Source organism: Homo sapiens, chromosome 19, assembly GCF_000001405.40.
Source record: "Homo sapiens chromosome 19, GRCh38.p14 Primary Assembly".
In the NCBI taxonomy this organism is placed as follows: domain Eukaryota; kingdom Metazoa; phylum Chordata; class Mammalia; order Primates; family Hominidae; genus Homo; species Homo sapiens.
Window position 1 is genome coordinate 22,388,591 of NC_000019.10, and position 18,794 is coordinate 22,407,384.

Here is an 18,794-nt window from a genome sequence, read left to right on the forward strand (position 1 = left end):
TGTAGTGGCTCACGCCTGTAATCCTAGTACTTTGGAAGATTGAGGCGGGTGGATCACCTGAGGTCAGGAGTTCAAGACTAGCCTGACCAAAATGATGAAACCCCATCTGTACTAAAAATACAAAAATTATCTGGGCATGGTGGCCTGCGCCTGTAGTCCTTCCTACTAGGGAGGCTGAAACAGGAGAACTGCTTGAACCCAGGAGGCAGAGTTACAGTGAGCGGAGGTCACGCCACTGCACTCCAGCCTAGGCAACAGAGTGAGATTCTGTCTCAAAAAAAAAGAAAAGAAAAGAAAAAGAAAAGAAAATTAGACACCTTATTAAAATGATGTCTTGTTCCAATATTATTCTGAAAATAGTTACAAACTCATACTCAAACACACTTAATCCATAATCTTCTTACACCTAAGGTTTATATTTAGACTAATAGATGTGTACATTTAACTCTATGTAAATCAAAACTAAAAGCCTGTATCTGTTTGCAAGCAGAGAGGCCACATATTCAAAGAAAAATATACAAGAAATTATTTTTAAGTATTTATTCAGGACTCAGAAATGTGTAAATTTTATACGTCTATATAATTTTTATTATTATAAAAATAACCCTGTAGTCAATAATAATCGTATATTTTAAAAAAACTAAAACTGTACAATTGAACTGTTCATAATACAAAAAATAAATACTAAAGGTGATGGATACCTCATTTACCCTAATGTGATTATTATATATTGTATGCCTCTTATCAGAATATGCCATATATAACATAAATATTATGTGCCTGAAAAAACTAACAAAAGTAAATTTAAATGGGAAAAAATAAATAAAAGTTTTACCTACAGAAACAACATTCCTTATTTGCAGTTTAAAGCCACTGGAAAAAAGATTAGTACTACAGATGTTAGTGCATTCTTTTACCAAATAGTGTATTGTTACCACCATTTATTTTATTTACTTATTTATTTTTTGAGAGGGAGTCTCACTTTGTCACCCAGGATGGAGTGCCATGGCATGATCTCGGCTCACCGCAACCTCTGCCTCCTGGGTTCAAGTGATTCTCCTGCCTCAGCCTCCCGAGTAGCTGGGATTACAGGCATGCGCCACCATGCCTGGCTAATTTTGTATTTTTAGTAGAGATGGCGTTTCTCCATGTGGGTCAGGCTGGTCTTGAACTCCTGACCTCAGGTGATCCGCCCGCCTTTGCCTCCCAAAGTGCTGGGATTACAGGCGTGAGCCACCGCGCCTGGCCTTGCTACCACCTTTTACCTACACCCTTGAGTAAGGTGGACTAGGTTAAAGTAAGTGGAATAATGTGACTTGATTGAATGCACAATATTTAAACTGTTTAAAATGTTGAATTAAGAAATTAAGTTCACACATAATCTAAAATTTTTAACATACTGCCTTTTTTTCATAAAAGTACAATTAGTAAAATAATATACTAATTTATTTTTAATTTTAACTAAAACAAAATTTGTCTCTCAATATAATGCAGAATATTACTCGGAACACCTACCTCATGCATCACTCAGTACTGTAAGTGAATCACAAAGAACCTCTTTACTTAGATTTTCATCATGCATTTTAATGTCCTTACTCTTTCATAGAAGAGGTCATAAATGCTCACCTAATAAAAAATAATCTCTCATATCTTTTGGTCACATGCTTTCACATATGAATACAATAGGAATAAAGAAACAACATCAGCCAGGAGCAGTGGCTAACACCTGTAATTCCAGCATTGTGGGAGGCCAAGCTGGGCGGATCACCTAAAGTCTCGAGTTCTAGACCAGCCTGGCCAACATGGCAAAACCCTGGCTCCATTAAAAATACAAAATTTAGCCAGGCATGGTGGTTTGTGCCTGTAATCCCAGCTACTTGGGAGGCTGAGGCAGGAGAATCACTTGAAACCTGGAGATGGAGGTTGCAGTGAGCTGAGATCGTGCCACTGTACTCCAGCCTGGGTGGGCGACAGAGCAAGACTCCATCTAAAAAAAAAGAAAAAGAAAAAAGAAAAAGAAAAACTAATTTCTTTAGCATGAAGTAATTTGAGAGTTAATTACAACATTAACATGAAGTAATTTGAGTTAATTACATTATTTGTATGAAGTAATTTGACAGTTATTTACTTTTAAAAAAATCTGTAATCTTTCTAAAAAAAAGTATACTTGTAACTCTCCAAAGAATCTTCTACTCTTTTAAAGTTATAAACAAATAATTTTTCTACCAAGTTTAGTTTTGGATTATTTTCTAAACTCAGAACTCTGATTCAGTGTAAAGTCTGAAGTGTCATTGCCTTATATATTTCTAATGTAAATTCTCTGATATTTACATAGACTTACCATTGAATTAAATTTTTTTTCTATTTACTGTATATGCAAAAATATTTTAATATGAACTCTGGAATTTTCTAACCTGTAGTTTTTGAATAAATGTTTTTTTCTAAATTTATTACATTTACAGGGTTTTTCTTTGATATAAATTCTCTGATGTTGAACAAAGTTTGAGCAATTGCCTCAGGGTTTGCTCTAATACAGAATGAATACAACAAGATCTGTGTTACAAGTAAAGTTACCACAACTTCGTTTATATTTGTAATGTTTGTCTTCAAAATAAATCCTCTTCAGCACTTTAAATGCTTATATTTTCTGAACTCTTTTGACAGTAATTGCACCTTTAATGCTATTAAGTATAAATTCTCTGATGCTGAATAAGATGTGTGCAGATATTAATCACTTTTTTACTTTCTTTATATTTGTACATTTGTTCTCATCAAGTATAAAGGCTTTCCTGTGCAATAAGGTTTGAGCATTGTGTAAGTTTTGCCACACTGTTCACACTTGTAGAAGTTTTCTCCAGAATGAATTACCTTACCTACAATCCAGTGTGATAACCATTTAAAGGCTTTGTCACATTCATATTTCTATTATTTCTCACCAGCACAATTTCTTTTATATTTGGAAATCTTTGCAATGTTGTCACAAGCATTGTTACAACTTTCAGGTTTGTAGAGTTTCTCTCCAGTATGAATCATCTTATGTCTGTTAAGAATAGAGGAGTTGTTAAAGGCTTTGCCGCATTCTTCACACTTGTAGGGTTTCTCTCCAGTATGAATCATCTTATGTGTAGTAAGGTGTGAGGACTGGTTAAAAGCTTTGCCACATTCTTCACATTTGTAGGGCTTCTCTCCAGTATGAATTACCTTATGTTTAGAAAGAGTTGAGGACTGGTTAAAAGCTTTGCCACATTCTTCACATTTGTAGGGTTTCTCTCCAGTATGAATTATCTTATGTGTAGTAAGTTGTGATGATAGGTTAAAAGCTTTGCCACATTCTTCACATTTGTAGGGCTTCTCTCCAGTATGAATTCTCTTATGTGTAGTAAGGTGTGAGAACCGGCTAAAGGCTTTGCTACATACTTCACATTTGTAGAATTTCTCTCCAGCATGAATTCTCTTATGTGTAGTAAGGGTTGAGGATTGTTTAAAAGCTTTGCCACATTCTTCACACTTGTAGGGTTTCTCTCCAGAATGAATTCTCTTATGTGTAGTAAGGTGGGATAACCGGCTAAAGGCCTTACCACATTCTTCACATTTGTAGAATTTCTCTCCAGTATGAATTATCTTATGTGTAGTAAGGGTTGAGGACTGGCTAAAAGCTTTGCCACATTCTTCACATTTGTAAGGTTTCTCTCCAGCATGAATTATCTTATGTGCAGTAAGGGTTGAGGACTGGCTAAAAGCTCTGCCACATTCTTCACATTTGTAGGGTTTCTCTCCAGTATGAATTCTCTTATGTGTAGTAAGGTTTGCAGATTGGTTAAAAGCTTTGCCACACTCCTCACATTTGTAGGGTTTCTTTCCAGTATGAATTATCTTATGTGTAGTAAGGTGTGAGAGCCGGTTAAAGGCTTTTCCACACTCTTCGCATTTGTAGGGTTTCTTTCCAGTATGAATTCTTTTATGTGTAGAAAGGTTTGAGGCCTCATTATAGGCTTTCCCACATTCTTTACATTTGTAGGGTTTCTCTCCACTATGAATTCTTTTATGTTGAGCTAAGTGTGAAAGCATGCAAAATGACTTTTCACATTCTTTACACTTGAAAGATTTCTTTCCAGTATGTCCTATCTTATGTCTGTTTGAATTTGAAAATTTATGAAAGACTTTCACATATTTGTCATATTGAAATATTTTGTTCTGGGTAGTTGTCAAACACTGGTTAAGTCCATTGTAACATTCTTTGTGCACCTTACACTCATCCATGCTTTTACAGTATTTTCTTAACTGTAAATTTTCACGTCCACATTTTTTATATGTTCTCAGTATCACTTTTTGGAAATAATTTTTTTTGCCCTGCTTTGGCCAAAGGTCTTGGGCAAAATAAGAATATACAACTGAAAGAAATAAAAATAATAAATTACTTCACTTACTAGACTCAGATGAATGTACTTTACAAATCTAACCTATAAAATTATACAAACTACATCACAAGATGTTACAGCAAAATATTACACGCTCTAACATTTTCACAGACATATAAAAGCATACAGAACAAATTACATTTCTGAAAAATTAAAGTAAGTTAAGTGTGTGCAGTGCCCCAGATGAGCCCAATGCAAAGAGCCACACAGAAGAAAGAAAAGTCTGTTACATTTACCCAGTGCAGATCTTCCTGCTTCCCTATATAACATAGTGACTTTAGAAATAAATTGCCAACTCCTGGTTTCATTTTCAAAAGACAAGTAAAATAATGGCTTATACATCTTTATTTCTCAATGGCAAGGTCTTTTACACTGGTTCCTGTGTCTCATTGCATAAAAGTTCTGAAAGAAATAGTGGTATTCTTTCAAATGACAGTTTGAGGCTGCTGAGATGAAAGGTAAGGTACCAAAACAGATATATAGACCAATGGAACAGAATAGAGACCTCAGAAATAACACCACACATCTACAACTATCTGATCTTTGACAAACCTGACAAAACACAAGAAATGGGGAAAGGATTCCCTATTTAATAAATGGTACTGGGAAAACTGGCTAGCCATATGTAGAAAGCTGAAACTGGATCCCTTCCTTACACCTTATACAAAAATTAATTCAAAATGGATTAAAGACTTAAATATTAGACCTAAAACCATAAAAACCCTAGAGGAAAACCTAGACAATACCATTCAGGACACAGGTATGGGCAAGGACTTCATGACTAAAACACCAAAAGCAATGGCAACAAAAGCCAAAATTGACAAATGGGATCTAATTAAACTAAAGAGCTTCTGTACAGCTAAAGAAACTACCACCAGAATGAACAGGCAACCTACAGAATGGGAGAAAATCTATGCAATCTACCCATCTGACAAAGGGCAAACATCCAGAATCTACAAAGAACTTAAACAAATTTACAAGAAAAAAACTAACAACCCCATCAAAAAGTGAGCAAAGGATGTGAACAGACACTTCTCAAAAGAAGACATTTATGCAGCCAACAGACACATGGAAAAATGCTCATCATCACTGGCCATCCGAGAAATGCAAATCAAAACCACAATGAGATACCATCTCATGCCAGTTAGAATGGTGATCATTAAAAAGTCAGGAGACAACAGGTGCTGGAGAGGATGTGGAGAAATAGAAACGCTTTTACACTGTTGGTGGGACTGTAAACTAGTTCAACCATTGTGGAAGACAGTGTTGCGATTCCTCAAGGATCTAGAACTAGAAATACCATTTGAGCCAGCCATCCCATTACGGGGTATATACCCAAAGGATTATAAATCATGCTACTATAAGGACACATGCACACGTACATTTATTGCGGCACTATTCACAATAGCAAAGACTTGGAACCAACCCAAATGTCCATCAATGATAGAATGGATTAAGAAAATGTGGCACGTATATACTACAGAATACTATGTATTCATGAAAAAGGATGAGTTCATGTCCTTTGCAGGCACATGGATGAAGCTGGAAACCATCATTCTGAGCACACTATCACAAGGACAGAAAACCAAACACCGCATGTTCTCACTCATAGGTGGGAATTGAGCAATGAGAATACCTGGACACAGGGCGGGGAACATCATACAACGGGGCCTGTTGGGGTGTGAGGGGCTGGGGGAAGGACAGCATTAACCACCATGGCACATGTATACCTATGTAACATAACTGCACGCTGGGCACATGTACCCTAGGACTTAAAGTATAATGAAATAAATAAATAAATAAGAAAGGTAAGTTTTACAGCAGCAGAAAGACTGTGGTACTACAGACAGGAAACAATTATAGCAAGTGATTATTGGTTATTAAGGAGTTTGGTGGCTCAAACCTGTAATCCTAGCACTTTGGGAGGCCAAGGTGGGAGGATCAACTGAGGTCCGGAGTTTGAGACCAAGCCTTGGCAACATAGTGAAACCCTGTCTCTACTAAAAATACAAAAGTAGCTGAGCATGGGGTCACATGCCTGTAATCCCAGCTAAGTGGGAAGCTGAGACCAGATAATCACTTGAACCGGAGAAGTGGAGGCTGCAGTGGGCTGAGACCATGCCATTGCACTGCAGCCTGGGTGACAGGAGCAAAACTCTGTTTCAAAAAGAAAAAAAAAAAAAAAAAAAGAAAAGAAACACGAATAAACTCCGCTGACTAAAAACTAAACACAAAATTTTAGACAAGGCACATCCTAAGAACATGTTTGAGAGACTCCCAGAATCTCTAGCCAAGATAATTGTTTTCAGACTATGTCAGAAAAAAAAAACATTTTAAAGACTGTGACAGGTAGCTTTTTTGATGTCCAAATCTCATTCCAGATTACAATGTATACAAAACAGGGCAATATAATTTCATCAAAAATACCATATAAACTTCAGAAAGAAACCATAAAAAAGATGTACACGTTTTAAACACTAATAAGTTGAATAATATCCAATGAGTGAAACAGGAACACAGTCCACTGTAGAAAATCACAAAAATGAGAATAAAAACAAGAATATCAAAATATTAAAAAAAAACAATTTGGTGGTAAAAAATAGAAAAATAAACAACTGGAAAATCCTAAAAGAAAAATGATGTAAAAATGAAGTTCAACAAACAAATTAGGATACACACACAGATATTTAAACAAATACATATTAAGCACATTTTCAAAAATCACAGACAGGAAGAAAGTCTTAGGAGCAGCAAGGTAAAAGTAATGTGTCATTTACAAACATAGTCTTATGATATAACCAGTGAATTATCAACAAAAATTTTGCAGATCAGAAAGATACCGTGTGACACAAAGTCCTGAGGGGGGGGAAAAAAAAAAGCTATCAAGTTGAGAATAATACCATCAACAAATCTGTCCTGCCACATAAAAAGAAAAAACCTTCCAAAACAACCAAATTCTGAAAAAGTATATTAGCACTGCATATGCCCTACATATAAAAGATGATGAAAGCAGTTTCTTAAACTGAAAGTAAAAGTATTAAAAAAAAACACATAATCATATAAAAATACATTATTTTCCAGGAAAGATATGCACATACATAAAAACAGAATCTTGTGGCATTATCATAATGGTGCAGAAAACATTTTAAATTATCTCTAAATTTTGAAAAATAAAAGCACAGAAATTATAAACATCTGTTAATGAATATACAATGTAAAAACATAATTAGCAACATCAAAGACAAATTTCAGGGCAGATGTAATGAGGAAGATTTTTTTATTCAACTGAGATTTATTTTATACCAAATTAAAACTATACTGTTGTTTCTTATAGAAGTTTTATGGAACCCCCAAGGTGCCACCAAAAAAAAATTCTGTACAAATATACAAAAGTGAATTAGAAATAAGTAAAAGCATATCAATACAAAAATCAAAAAGACACAAAGAGAGAAAATGAGAAACAAAGATGCAAGAATCAAATAAAATAATTAAAAATGTAACAGTCTGTCTTTATCAGACAGTTATTTAAATGTATATATAAAATTAACTTTTAAATCAAGAGACATACTTTCAACAGATTAAAAATTTTAAAAACCAAGATCCAACTTTTTTTTTCTACAAGAGTCAGTAGAGATCTAATGATAAAAAACACTAAAAGGGGCAAGATGGAAGAATACATTTCATGCAAATATGAATCAAATGAGAGCAGAAGAAATCAAGATAGTATTATGCAAGCTACATCTTAAGTCAAAAACTGTCATGTTTTACAAAATGTACTTGAAGTTAAAACTCCAAGGAGACAAAAAAGGACATTAAAACTTACAGATTTAGGCTGGGCATGGTGGCTCACGCCTGTAATCCCAGCACTTTGGGAGGCTGAGGCAGGTGGATCACTTGAGGTCAGGAGTTCGAGACTGGCCTGGCCAACATGGTGAAACCGACTCTACTAAAAATACAAAAATTAGCCGGGCATGGTGGTGGGCGCCTGTAATCCTAGCTACTCAGGAGGCTGAGGAAGGAGAATCACTTGAACCTAGGAGGCAGAGGTTGCAGTGAGCCGAGATCACACCACTGCACTCCAGCCTGGGACACAGAGTGAGACTCTGTCTCAAAAAAAAACAACAAAAAAAAACCACTTCAGATTTACTCACTGGGAACCTATGACAAATCTGTATGTACATCTGTGTGTGTGTGTGTGTGTTTTTGTGTGTGTGTGTGTGTGTGTGTATCTCACATTAGGGCTCCAAACATATAAAGCAAACATTGACAGAATAACAGAGACACATAGAGAGCAACATAATTATAGTAGGATATTTTGACACTGCACTTGCCGTAATAAAAATTAAATGAGAATATTAGTAAGGGAATAGAGGACTTCCAGGCAGTGTAAGACAATTATTTCTAACAGAGGTATAGAAAACACCCCTCAACACCAGGACACACATGGTTCTCAATAGCTAATACAACATTTTCCTTCATAGACCTCCTCTTATTACAAAAAAAAGAAAATTAAGTCTTACCAGTTTTTTTAAAACTGAAATTTTATAAATTACTTTCTATCACCAAAATGAAATGAGTATACAACGAGAAAAAAAATCTGAAAAATTAACAAATATATAGAAATTAAACAACACACTCTTGAGCATGCTCTTGTGAAAGGCTGAAAAAGGTAATACTGTAAAGATGTCCATCCTGCTCAATGCAATCTACAGATTTAATGCAATGTTTTTCAAATTTCTCACTGCATTTTTGAAGAAACAGAAACAGCAATCCCTCGAGTATACAGAATCTCTACATACAATGAAGTACCCAAAAATATTAAAAACAAAACAAAACAATGTTGGAGGCATTACAGTTCCTGATTTCAAAACACAAAGCTACAGAATTAAAACAATTTGGTATGAGTATAAAGGTGAAAAAGTAGACTAATAAAATAGAATGCAGCACATATATAAACTCTCACATATATGGTCACATGAAGAGTCATTTGCATACCCACATTTATTTTAGCATTGTTACTAAAAGCCAGTAGGTAAAAGCAAGGCAAATTTCGGTCACCAAATCGTTCAGCAGATATAATTTGAAATACAAAAATGCCAAAATATTACTCAGTTTGAAAAAAAGCAGGAAATATTCTAACAACTATAAAGGTAAATCCTGATGACTTTATGCAAAATAAAATGAGCCAGCCACAAACAGATTTTATGAGATATACAAAGCAGTTATACTCTTAGAAACAGAAAACAGAATGGCATTTGAAAAGTGCCAGGAAATGGGAAAAATTGGTAGTTGTTTAATGTGTATTGTAAACTTTCTAGAAATCTTTTATAAAATAATGTAAATATACTTAACATGCCTGAAATGTACAGTGTTTTTGAGTCAGGGTCTCACTCTGTCACCCAAGCTGGGGTGCATGGCACAATTACAGCTCACTGCAGCCTCAAACTTCCAGGTTCAAGTAATCCTCCCTCCTCAATCTCCCAAGTAGACAGGACCACTTCACCATGTCTGGCTACGTTTTAAAATGCTTTACAGAGATGAGGTTTCCATATGTCTTCCAGGATGTTCTCAAGCTTTTGGGCTCAGTCTTCCTGCCTTGGCCTCCCAAAATCCGGGGATTACAGACGTGAACCACCACGACTGGCCATGAAATGTACATTCAAATAGATTTAAGATGGTAAATTTTAGGTTATATGTTTGTACAATTGTTTTTTAGAAGAATAACTGAAGATCCAGAATTATAAACCTTTCCAAAAATTACCTTCAAGTCACAAAAGTGTTTCCCTCACACATAGGAAATATGTTTATTATTAAACACAAGGTGAAAATAAGACTATTTCCATGACTACTCATTTAGACAAGATAAAGCCACCATTAAAAATCAGCTAAGAAAAAATATATACAAGATTAGCCATAACCAAAATTGGGGTCATATTTATAGATAAAAACACACACACATATAATCAGATTGTAATAGAGATAAGGCTGATTTATCTCTTAAACCCCACACCGACTTACATGTAAAAACAGAATTGCAAATTGTCTAAAATTGTAAAACCAAAAAACACAATAAACTTATGTTAAGAAACCTACACTGAAAAAACGCATTAATATGAAACTAAAAAATAATAATAAATGTTTACTCATAAAATCTGGTATGTAACTTGATGTAGCATTAACAAAGAATTTGTGTAGATAACTGGAATATTTTACTGTAACTGTGTACTCATTGAAGGTGGCTATTTTGAATCATTGGCATGCACTGTAATGCAGTAAAAGTTTCAGATAAAATGCAGTATAATCATAAACAGAAGACTCTAATGACAAACTGATAAATAAGCATTTTAATAAATAAGATCATTTCTAAGTTTTAAATATATGCTATTCTTACACAAAATAAAACTGCTGTAATCCAAATTTAGAAGCAAAAAATAGCCTTACATTGCTAAATAAAGAAAAAATATATCTATTTTGCAGAATATGGTCAGGGCCTCTGATATATAAAACAAATATTTGGGAACAAATTATGTCATATTTTAGGTACTAGCTGACAAAAGTGAGTGAAAATCCTGTCTTTTTTTGCCTGTCTATATTTCCTTTTTGTCTGTCTACTAATTATCTAATTCACCTCAGACATAACATGTCAATTTTAGTATATTGTCCTAAATGTCTAAATCTAAAACTACTGACAAAATTGAAATAGAAAGTAGAAAGTAAAAATGTACAGGAAGAGTGACATCACTAAGATGGAAAAATAAATGGTGCCTTATTTGCTTATTTTCTGACAGCAAGAAAATTCATCAGCCTGATAAAAATGCCTTTATGAGAGAAACAGGAATCATGACTCAAACCTGTAATGAGAAATGCTTTAGGACAGAACTTCAAGATCAACCTGGGTCATGTAGCAAGAACCCATCTCCAAAACAAGTGCCCTTAAAGAGCTTTGAGATCTATGGAGGGAGTTGTGAAACTCTGCTAATGCCCAAGATTGAGGAATATTCTCTTCAGAAGGCAGGCTTTCATTCAGGTGGCAAACTACAGGACCCCTGTTCTTGGCTACAGACCAGAAAATGGCCCACCAAACTTGGTCCCACTGAGAATTCTGAACTTACCCTGCAATCATCCCAAACTCCTCCCAGCCACAGTCTGGGAGAGGTCTTGCCCTTTCAGAGGTCTGGAGAGAGACACCCCTTTATAGCCACGCAGCAGGCCTGCAGACCTTGGCCATTACTGTGGTCCCTGAAGCAGTTTCATGACTCAGTTTTATCACCCTGAGCCACAGTTCATGGCAAGTTCTGCCTATGTAGAAACCCACACAGTGACCTTGGGAAATCCTCTCTGGTACTCAGTGAAAGCCAAACTCATCTACATCCTAATATAAAGCCTACCATATGCAGACCCAAGTGCAGAAATCTGCCCTAGCGTCTGCCCTACAGAGCAAAGTCCTGAAGGATACTCACTCTGTCCAAAAATAAAATGGGAATTACAACTACCTAAGCCCCTTGTAACAAGCCAACTAAAGGTGGACCCTAATGCAGACCCAGCAGCCTTTGTAAACAAGCTACCTACCCCTCTCCACTACAAACCCATAGGACATCCCATCACCCTGGGGGCTCAACAAAAGATCTTCACTTTCTGAAACCAATTTATAAAAACTTGAAGAGGGCCAGGCGCGGTGGCTCACGCCTGTAATCCCAGAACTTTGGGAGGCCAAGGCGGGTGGATCACCAGGTCAGGAGTTCAAGACCAGCCTGGCCAACATGGTGAAACCCCATCTCTACTAAAAATATAAAAATTAGCCAGGCATGGTGGCACGCACCTGTAGTCCCAGCTACTCGGGAGGCAGAGGCAGGAGAATCACTTGAACCTGGGAGGTGGAGGTTGCAGTGAGCCGAGGCCGCGCCACTGCACTCCAGTCTCAGCGACAGAGTGAGACACTGTCTCAAAAAACAAAACAAAACAAAACAAAAAAAAAACAAGAAAAACTTGAAGAGGTGTTTACTCCTTCAAACTCACAGACACCAATGCAAAAGTTTATTATGCCCATTCTCAATGCTTCTATTTTAACACAGCACTGGAAGTATGTGGAATAAGTAAAAAAAAAAAAAAAAAAAATTTAAGTCACTGAAATTGAAGACAAATAAGTAAAAAGTTGCTTTTTGTAGATCATTTGATCTTGTATATAGAAAACCATAAACAGTACATTTAAAACCTAATTAAAGTAATAATTACACTCAATAAGTTAGCAAAATAGAAAATTAACATACAAGTGTAAGTTATGGTTCCATACACTTTAAACAAACTATCTGACAAAAGAGAGACAGAAAGCAATCTTATTTACAATAGCACTAAAATAATAAATTTCTGAGAACAAATTTAACCAAGGAGCTTAAATATCTTTCAAATAAAAGATACATCAATAATTGGAGAAGACAAAAATAAATTTAAAAACATTTCATGTCTATTGATTGAAAGAATTTTTTTTTTTTTTTGAGATGGAGTTTCACTCTTGTTGCCCACATTGGAGTGTAGTGGTGCAATCTCAGCTCACTGCAACCTCTGCCTACCAGGTTCAAGCAATTCTTCCGCCTCAGCCTCCCAAGTAGCTGGAATTACAGGCGCCTGTCACCACGCCTGACTAATTTTTTGTATTTTTAGTAGAGACAGGGTTTCATCATGTTGGCCAGGCTGGTCTCAAACTCCTGACCTCAGGTGATCCACCTGCCTCAGCCTCCCAAAGTGCAGGGATTACAGGCGTGAGCCACCATGCCCGGCTGAAAGAATATTATTAAAGTGCCGTGTTATCTACAGTGATCTCTAGATTCAATAAATTCCCTATCAAAATTCCAGTATTTTTTTTTTACAGTAATAGAAAATACAATTCTCGGTCAGGCACGGTGGGTCACACCTGTAATCCTAGCACTTTGGGAGGCCAAGGCAGGCGGATCACAAGGTCTAGGAGTTCGAGACCAGCCTGGCCAATATGGTGACACCCCGTCTCTACTAAAAATATAAAAATTAGCCAGGCATGGTGGCTCGCGCCTGTATTCCCAGCTACTCAGGAGGCTGAGGCAGAAGAATCGCTTGAACCCAGGAGGCAGAGATTGCAGTTAGCCAAGATGATGACACTCCACTCCAGCCTGGGTGACAGAGCAAGACTCCATCTCAAAAAAAAAAAAAAAAAAAAGAAAGAGAAAAAGAAAATACAATTCTCACATAGACTTACAATAAACTTTGAATAGCCAAAGCAATCTTGAAAAAAAAAGGACAAAGCAGAAGAACATCATACTTTATAATTTCAAACTATACTTCAAGACTATAATAAGACAGAATGCAATGTGCAGAAAAATTAGCAATAAAAAACCAATGGAACAGAAACCACTGCTCTCACACATTTAGGACATGATGTAAAAACAGAACTTGAAAAACAGTTTAACATAGAGTTTCTCAAAATTATGCAGATTATCTATGTGTTTTCAAAAACAATGAAAAAGCAGTCAGATTTCACAGTCTCTTATGTGCCATGAAGAGGGCTGTCTTGGCTGTCACTGTAAACCTGAAGAAGATCACCAAAGGGAAAGTAAAATCTTTAGAGATTTTAAAAATATAAGACAGAAGATGCTTCTATGTGAAAGCAAAATTTAAAAAATTCAAGTTTCCTAGAAACTATTTCCTTTGGAACACAGATTTCAAATCATTTTAAGGAATGGCTTTTTTTTTTTTTCTACTTTGGAGCTCTCATCTGTGTCGTCTGTTGTATTCACTTTCACTCTCACCTACCTGGGGGTTCAGTTACCATCTCATGTCTCTTCACATTCCAAGGTTCTTTTCCTTGCTCCAGACAGGTGATCAGGTCTGGCTTAGAGGCAGCAATACCTGTTTTATTACAAATAACATGAATCTTGCTCATATTCTCCAATTACCAATTTAGTAGTGTGTTCAGTAAAAAGGATGTAATAGAATATTCTAGTAAATTGATTCCAAAATACTAATACACAACAAAAAATTTTAAATATTTAGGAAATATTTTAATTTTGTAAGTTCTTAATTTCACTACCTGATACTACTAAATCAAAAACTGGTAGTGGCAATTAGATTTTAAGATGTGGGCAACAGTATGTTATGCCACTAAATTTCTAAAATTAACACTAATCTAGAGTGAAGAACACAGATCAGCTCAGGAGTGTGGAAAGTTCAGATCAAAATGAAACATCTTGAAATTCTTTTCTACATAGACAAATCTTGAAGTTAAAAAAAAAAAACAAAAAAAAAAAACAGAGATCTGAAAGCATAAACTACCAAAAAAACCATTCTACAAAAAAGAGAAATAAAATTTATAGGGTATATTAGGGAATTGTATATTGAAGTTATCCTCACCCACAAAGACCAGGTTTCTGTAGTTCTCTAACATCACATTCCTATATAAATTCTGCTGTGCGGTGTCCAGGCATTGCCACTCCTCCAGAGAGAATTCTAAGGCCACATCCCTAAATGTCAACACTCCCTGAAAAACATACAAACACACATACATATTTACCAAGTGGCCATAAACAGAATTTTTAATTTGACTCAAGGTAAAACAAGAGTAAAGAGAACTGGTTCTTACTTATAGGAGTGACTGATATATTTAATAAATAACTTTCAGCACAGAAGTATTCTCTAATGTATTCTCTAACTCTGAGAAAAGAGAGTGGCATAAGATCCACAACATCGAGGTATAGATGATACTTTTTTGGATGATGAAGTATAAAACTGAGGGCATTAACACTAACATGTACACTTTTGAGTGCTACATTTACATCATACAGAATAAGTTGTGTAAATTTTTCAGATGGAAAAGACATATTCAGTTAGAAAATACTGCTCACATGTTAATGTGTAAAATAAACTGGAGATCTTGTTAATGCAGATTATTTTTTCAGAAAATCTGGGCTGGGAGCGATGGCTCACGCCTGTAATCCCAGCACTTTGGGAGGCTAAGGCAGGTGGATCACGAGGTCAGGAGACCGAGACTATCCTGGCTAACACAGTGAAACCCTGGCTCTACTAAAAATACAAAAAATTAGCCAGGCGTGGAGGCGAGAGCCTGTAGTCCCAGCTACTCGGGAGGCTGAGGCAGGAGAATGGCATGAACCCCAGAGGCGGAGCTTGCAGTGAGCTGAAATCGCGCCACTACACTCCAGCCTGGGTGACAGAGCGAGACTCCGTCTCAAAATAAAAAAAAGAAAAGAAAATTTGGAATAAAATCTGAGTTTCTGAATCTCTAACAAGCTCACCAGTAATGCCCATGTTTTTGGTCCAAGAAAACTATTTTGTCAAACATCCAGTAAGTGGAAGAGCCTGTGTGTTTTTCAGTTTTTCTGGCCTGTAAACAAAGATGAGAGCTTTCGTTTTCCAAAGACAGATAAATGCAAAGAAAACCTAAGAAAGGTCAGCTGCCAGATTAAATGTGATTGTTTATGCACATCTGCTGAATAAAGATACTCAATAATGAAGAGAAAAATAATGAACTCTATAGAAAAAAAAATCTGTCAGAGTTCATTAACCAAGTGAGTTATTAACATCAACTGCATGAAGATAAATTTTTATGATGTGCTGATGCACACAGAAGGACACGGCATCACTGCTATGGTATCTCCCAGCCAAAAGTAAATCATAGCCTGAATTTAATCATAAAGAAACATTGGTTTTATGCAAAGTTCCAGATACTGATATCTGCCATGTTCTGTAAATTTTAATAGTGATTTTAAGTAGTCTTTCTTTCACACCCTAAAGAGCAAGTATCTCCTAATAATTTTTTTTTCAAAACTGTCTGGGTAATAAATGCCATCCCATTTAAGCAAGCATTTTCTTAATCCTGTTCTGCATAGAGTTAATGGAGAACAGAGATAGAACCTCAACATTACATGCTCTCCATCTTTACTACGGACTCCAGCTTTTCCCCAATAGGAATATTCAGTATCCACCCTTTCCATGTTCCACAGCCAGGAAAGAAACCTTCTTAATATTGCAGTTCATAAATTCATGGTGAGAATTCTTTATGACGTGTAAGAAGCCATGATGTTGAGAATGTAAAGAAGACTCTGGTATATAGGAAAGAAATATTTTTCAGACACCCCTGACTATTATAAGAACTAAAAAGCAGTTAAACTCATTAGGAAGAAAAAGCACATGTAGAAAAGTAAAGCTTTGCAAGTACTGAACATATGGCATTCTAGGACACAGAGTGGACACAGCTCTTCATCTGAGACATGCTTAGCTAAAAAAAAAAAAAAAAAAAATTAGGGGCAGGGCAAAGATGGCCAACTAGAAGCAGCTGCGATCAGAGGCTCCCACCAAAAAGAACCATAATGGCCTGTGAATCCTGCACTTGCACCTGAGGTATCCAGGTTCTCTCATCAGAACTGACTAGGCAGCTGGCATGACCCACGGAGAGGAAGAAAGAGCAGTGTGGTGCAGCAACCCACCTGAGAGCCATACGGGGAAGGGGAGCCCCCACCCCCCAGCCAAGAGAGATGGTGAATGAATGTGCTACTTAGCCGACAAAACCATGCTTTTTCCATGGAACTGTGCAACCCACAAACGGAAAGATTTCACTCGTGAACCCATGCCACAGGAGCCTAGGGTCCCAACCCCAGAGCTGTGCAGATTCTCAACAACCTCTCAGCTAAAATCTGTTTAAGCCTGCTGAGTTCCCAGGGGAGGGGTGACCAGCACCACAGGTGTGGCTGCCTGCTGTCTAAGCCATCTGAGCTCCCCGGGGAGGGGCAGCAACCATCTCTACAGCTCCTGGCAGGCTTGGTTCCAAGAAGTGTCCCCCACAGCCCAACACACCGGCTGTGCCAGACTACAGCTACAGCACCTCTTCAGGCCTGACTCTGACCCATCCCTCCTCATTTTGTGGGGCCACCCTGCAGGAACTCCAACTCCAGCCAGGGGCTCAGGGACAGAACTCTGATCTCCCTGGGCCTGAGTCCCTAAGGGGAGAAGTGATTGCAGTCTCTGTGGGAACAGCAGACTTAGCTTTTCCTCCTGTTAGTTCTAAGGAATCCAAGCAGCCCAGAGGAGTGGTTTTAACTTCAGTGAAGCATACCCCCTCCACCAAGGGACAATAAAAGTGCTTCATTAAATGGGTTCTGTTCCTCGTGTCACCCAATGGGTGAAATACTCCAACTGGGGTTGTCAGACACTCTATACAGGAGTGTTCCTACTGGCATCAGATTGTTGTTCCTTGAGGTCAGGCAGCCCAGAGGAAGGAGAAGGCAACCATCTTTGCTGTTCTCCAGCCTCCTTGAGTATTATCTCCAGGTGCAGGAGTGAACCACGTAAATAGGGCCTGAAGTGAACCCCCAGCAAATCACAGCAACCATACAGAAGAGGGACCTGACCACTGAAAAAAAACAAACAGAAATGAACAACAGCAATAAAAAAGTCCCCACACTAACCTCATCCAAGAGTCAGCAGCCTCAAAGATCAAAACTAGACAAACTCATGAAGATGAGAAAGAATTAATGAAAAAAACGCTGAAGCCAGGTGTGGTGGCTCATGCCTGTAATCCCAGCACTTTGGGAGGCTGAGGCGGGCAGATCATGAGGTCAAGAAATCGAGACCATCCTGGCTAACACGGTGAAACCCTGTCTCTACTAAAAATACAAAAAATTAGCCGGGCATGGTAGTCCGCACCTGTAGTCCCAGTTACTTGGGAGGCCGAGGCAGAAGAATGACGTGAACCTGGGAGGCAGAGCTTGCAGTGAGCTGAGATCGCGCCACTGCACTCCAGCCTGGGCAACAGAGCAAGACTCCGTCTCAAAAAAAAAAGAAAAAAGAAAAAGACACTGAAAACCCAAAAGGCAAGAGTGCCTCTTCTCCAAATGATTGCAATGCCTCTCCAGCAAGGGTGCAGAACTGGATGGAGAATAAGATAGACAAATTGACAGAAGTAGGCTTCAGAAGATGGGTGATAACAAACTCCACTGAGCTAAAGGAGCATGTTCTAACCAAATGCAAAAAACCTAAGAACCTTGATAAAAAGTTAGAGAGAGGAGCTGCTAACTAGAATAACCAGTTAGACAGAGTCTCACTCTGTCGCCCAGGCTGGAGTGCAGTGGCGCGATCTTGGCTCACTGCAACCTCCGCCTCCTGGGTTCAAGCGATTCTGCTGTCTCAGCCTCTGGAGTAGCTGGGATTACAGGCGCGTGCCACCATGACCAGCTAATTTTTCTACGTTTAGTAGAGATAGGGTTTCATCTTGTTGGCCAGGTTGGTTTCGAACTCTTGACCTCAGATGATCCCCCTGCCTTGGCTTCCCAAAGTGCTGGGATTACAGGCGTGAGCCACTGTGCCCAGTCCTATTTTGTTAATTTTTTCAAAAAACAG

At 37.4% G+C, this 18,794-nt stretch overlaps 1 protein-coding gene across 1 annotated transcript in view; it reads right to left on the minus strand.

Moving 5' to 3' along the window:
- Positions 1–2,428: 2,428 nt before the first annotated feature.
- The window catches only part of ZNF98 (zinc finger protein 98), a 31,328-nt gene continuing 14,962 nt past the window's right edge, over positions 2,429–18,794 (minus strand). Inside the window, exons 2-4 of the mRNA NM_001098626.2 lie at positions 14,796–14,922; positions 14,199–14,294; positions 2,429–4,391 (exon numbers count right to left, since the gene is read on the minus strand). Coding sequence (NP_001092096.1) covers positions 2,926–4,391; positions 14,199–14,294; positions 14,796–14,922 — 1,689 coding nt within the window. The 3' untranslated portion in view covers positions 2,429–2,925. The remainder of the gene's footprint in view (positions 4,392–14,198; positions 14,295–14,795; positions 14,923–18,794) is intronic.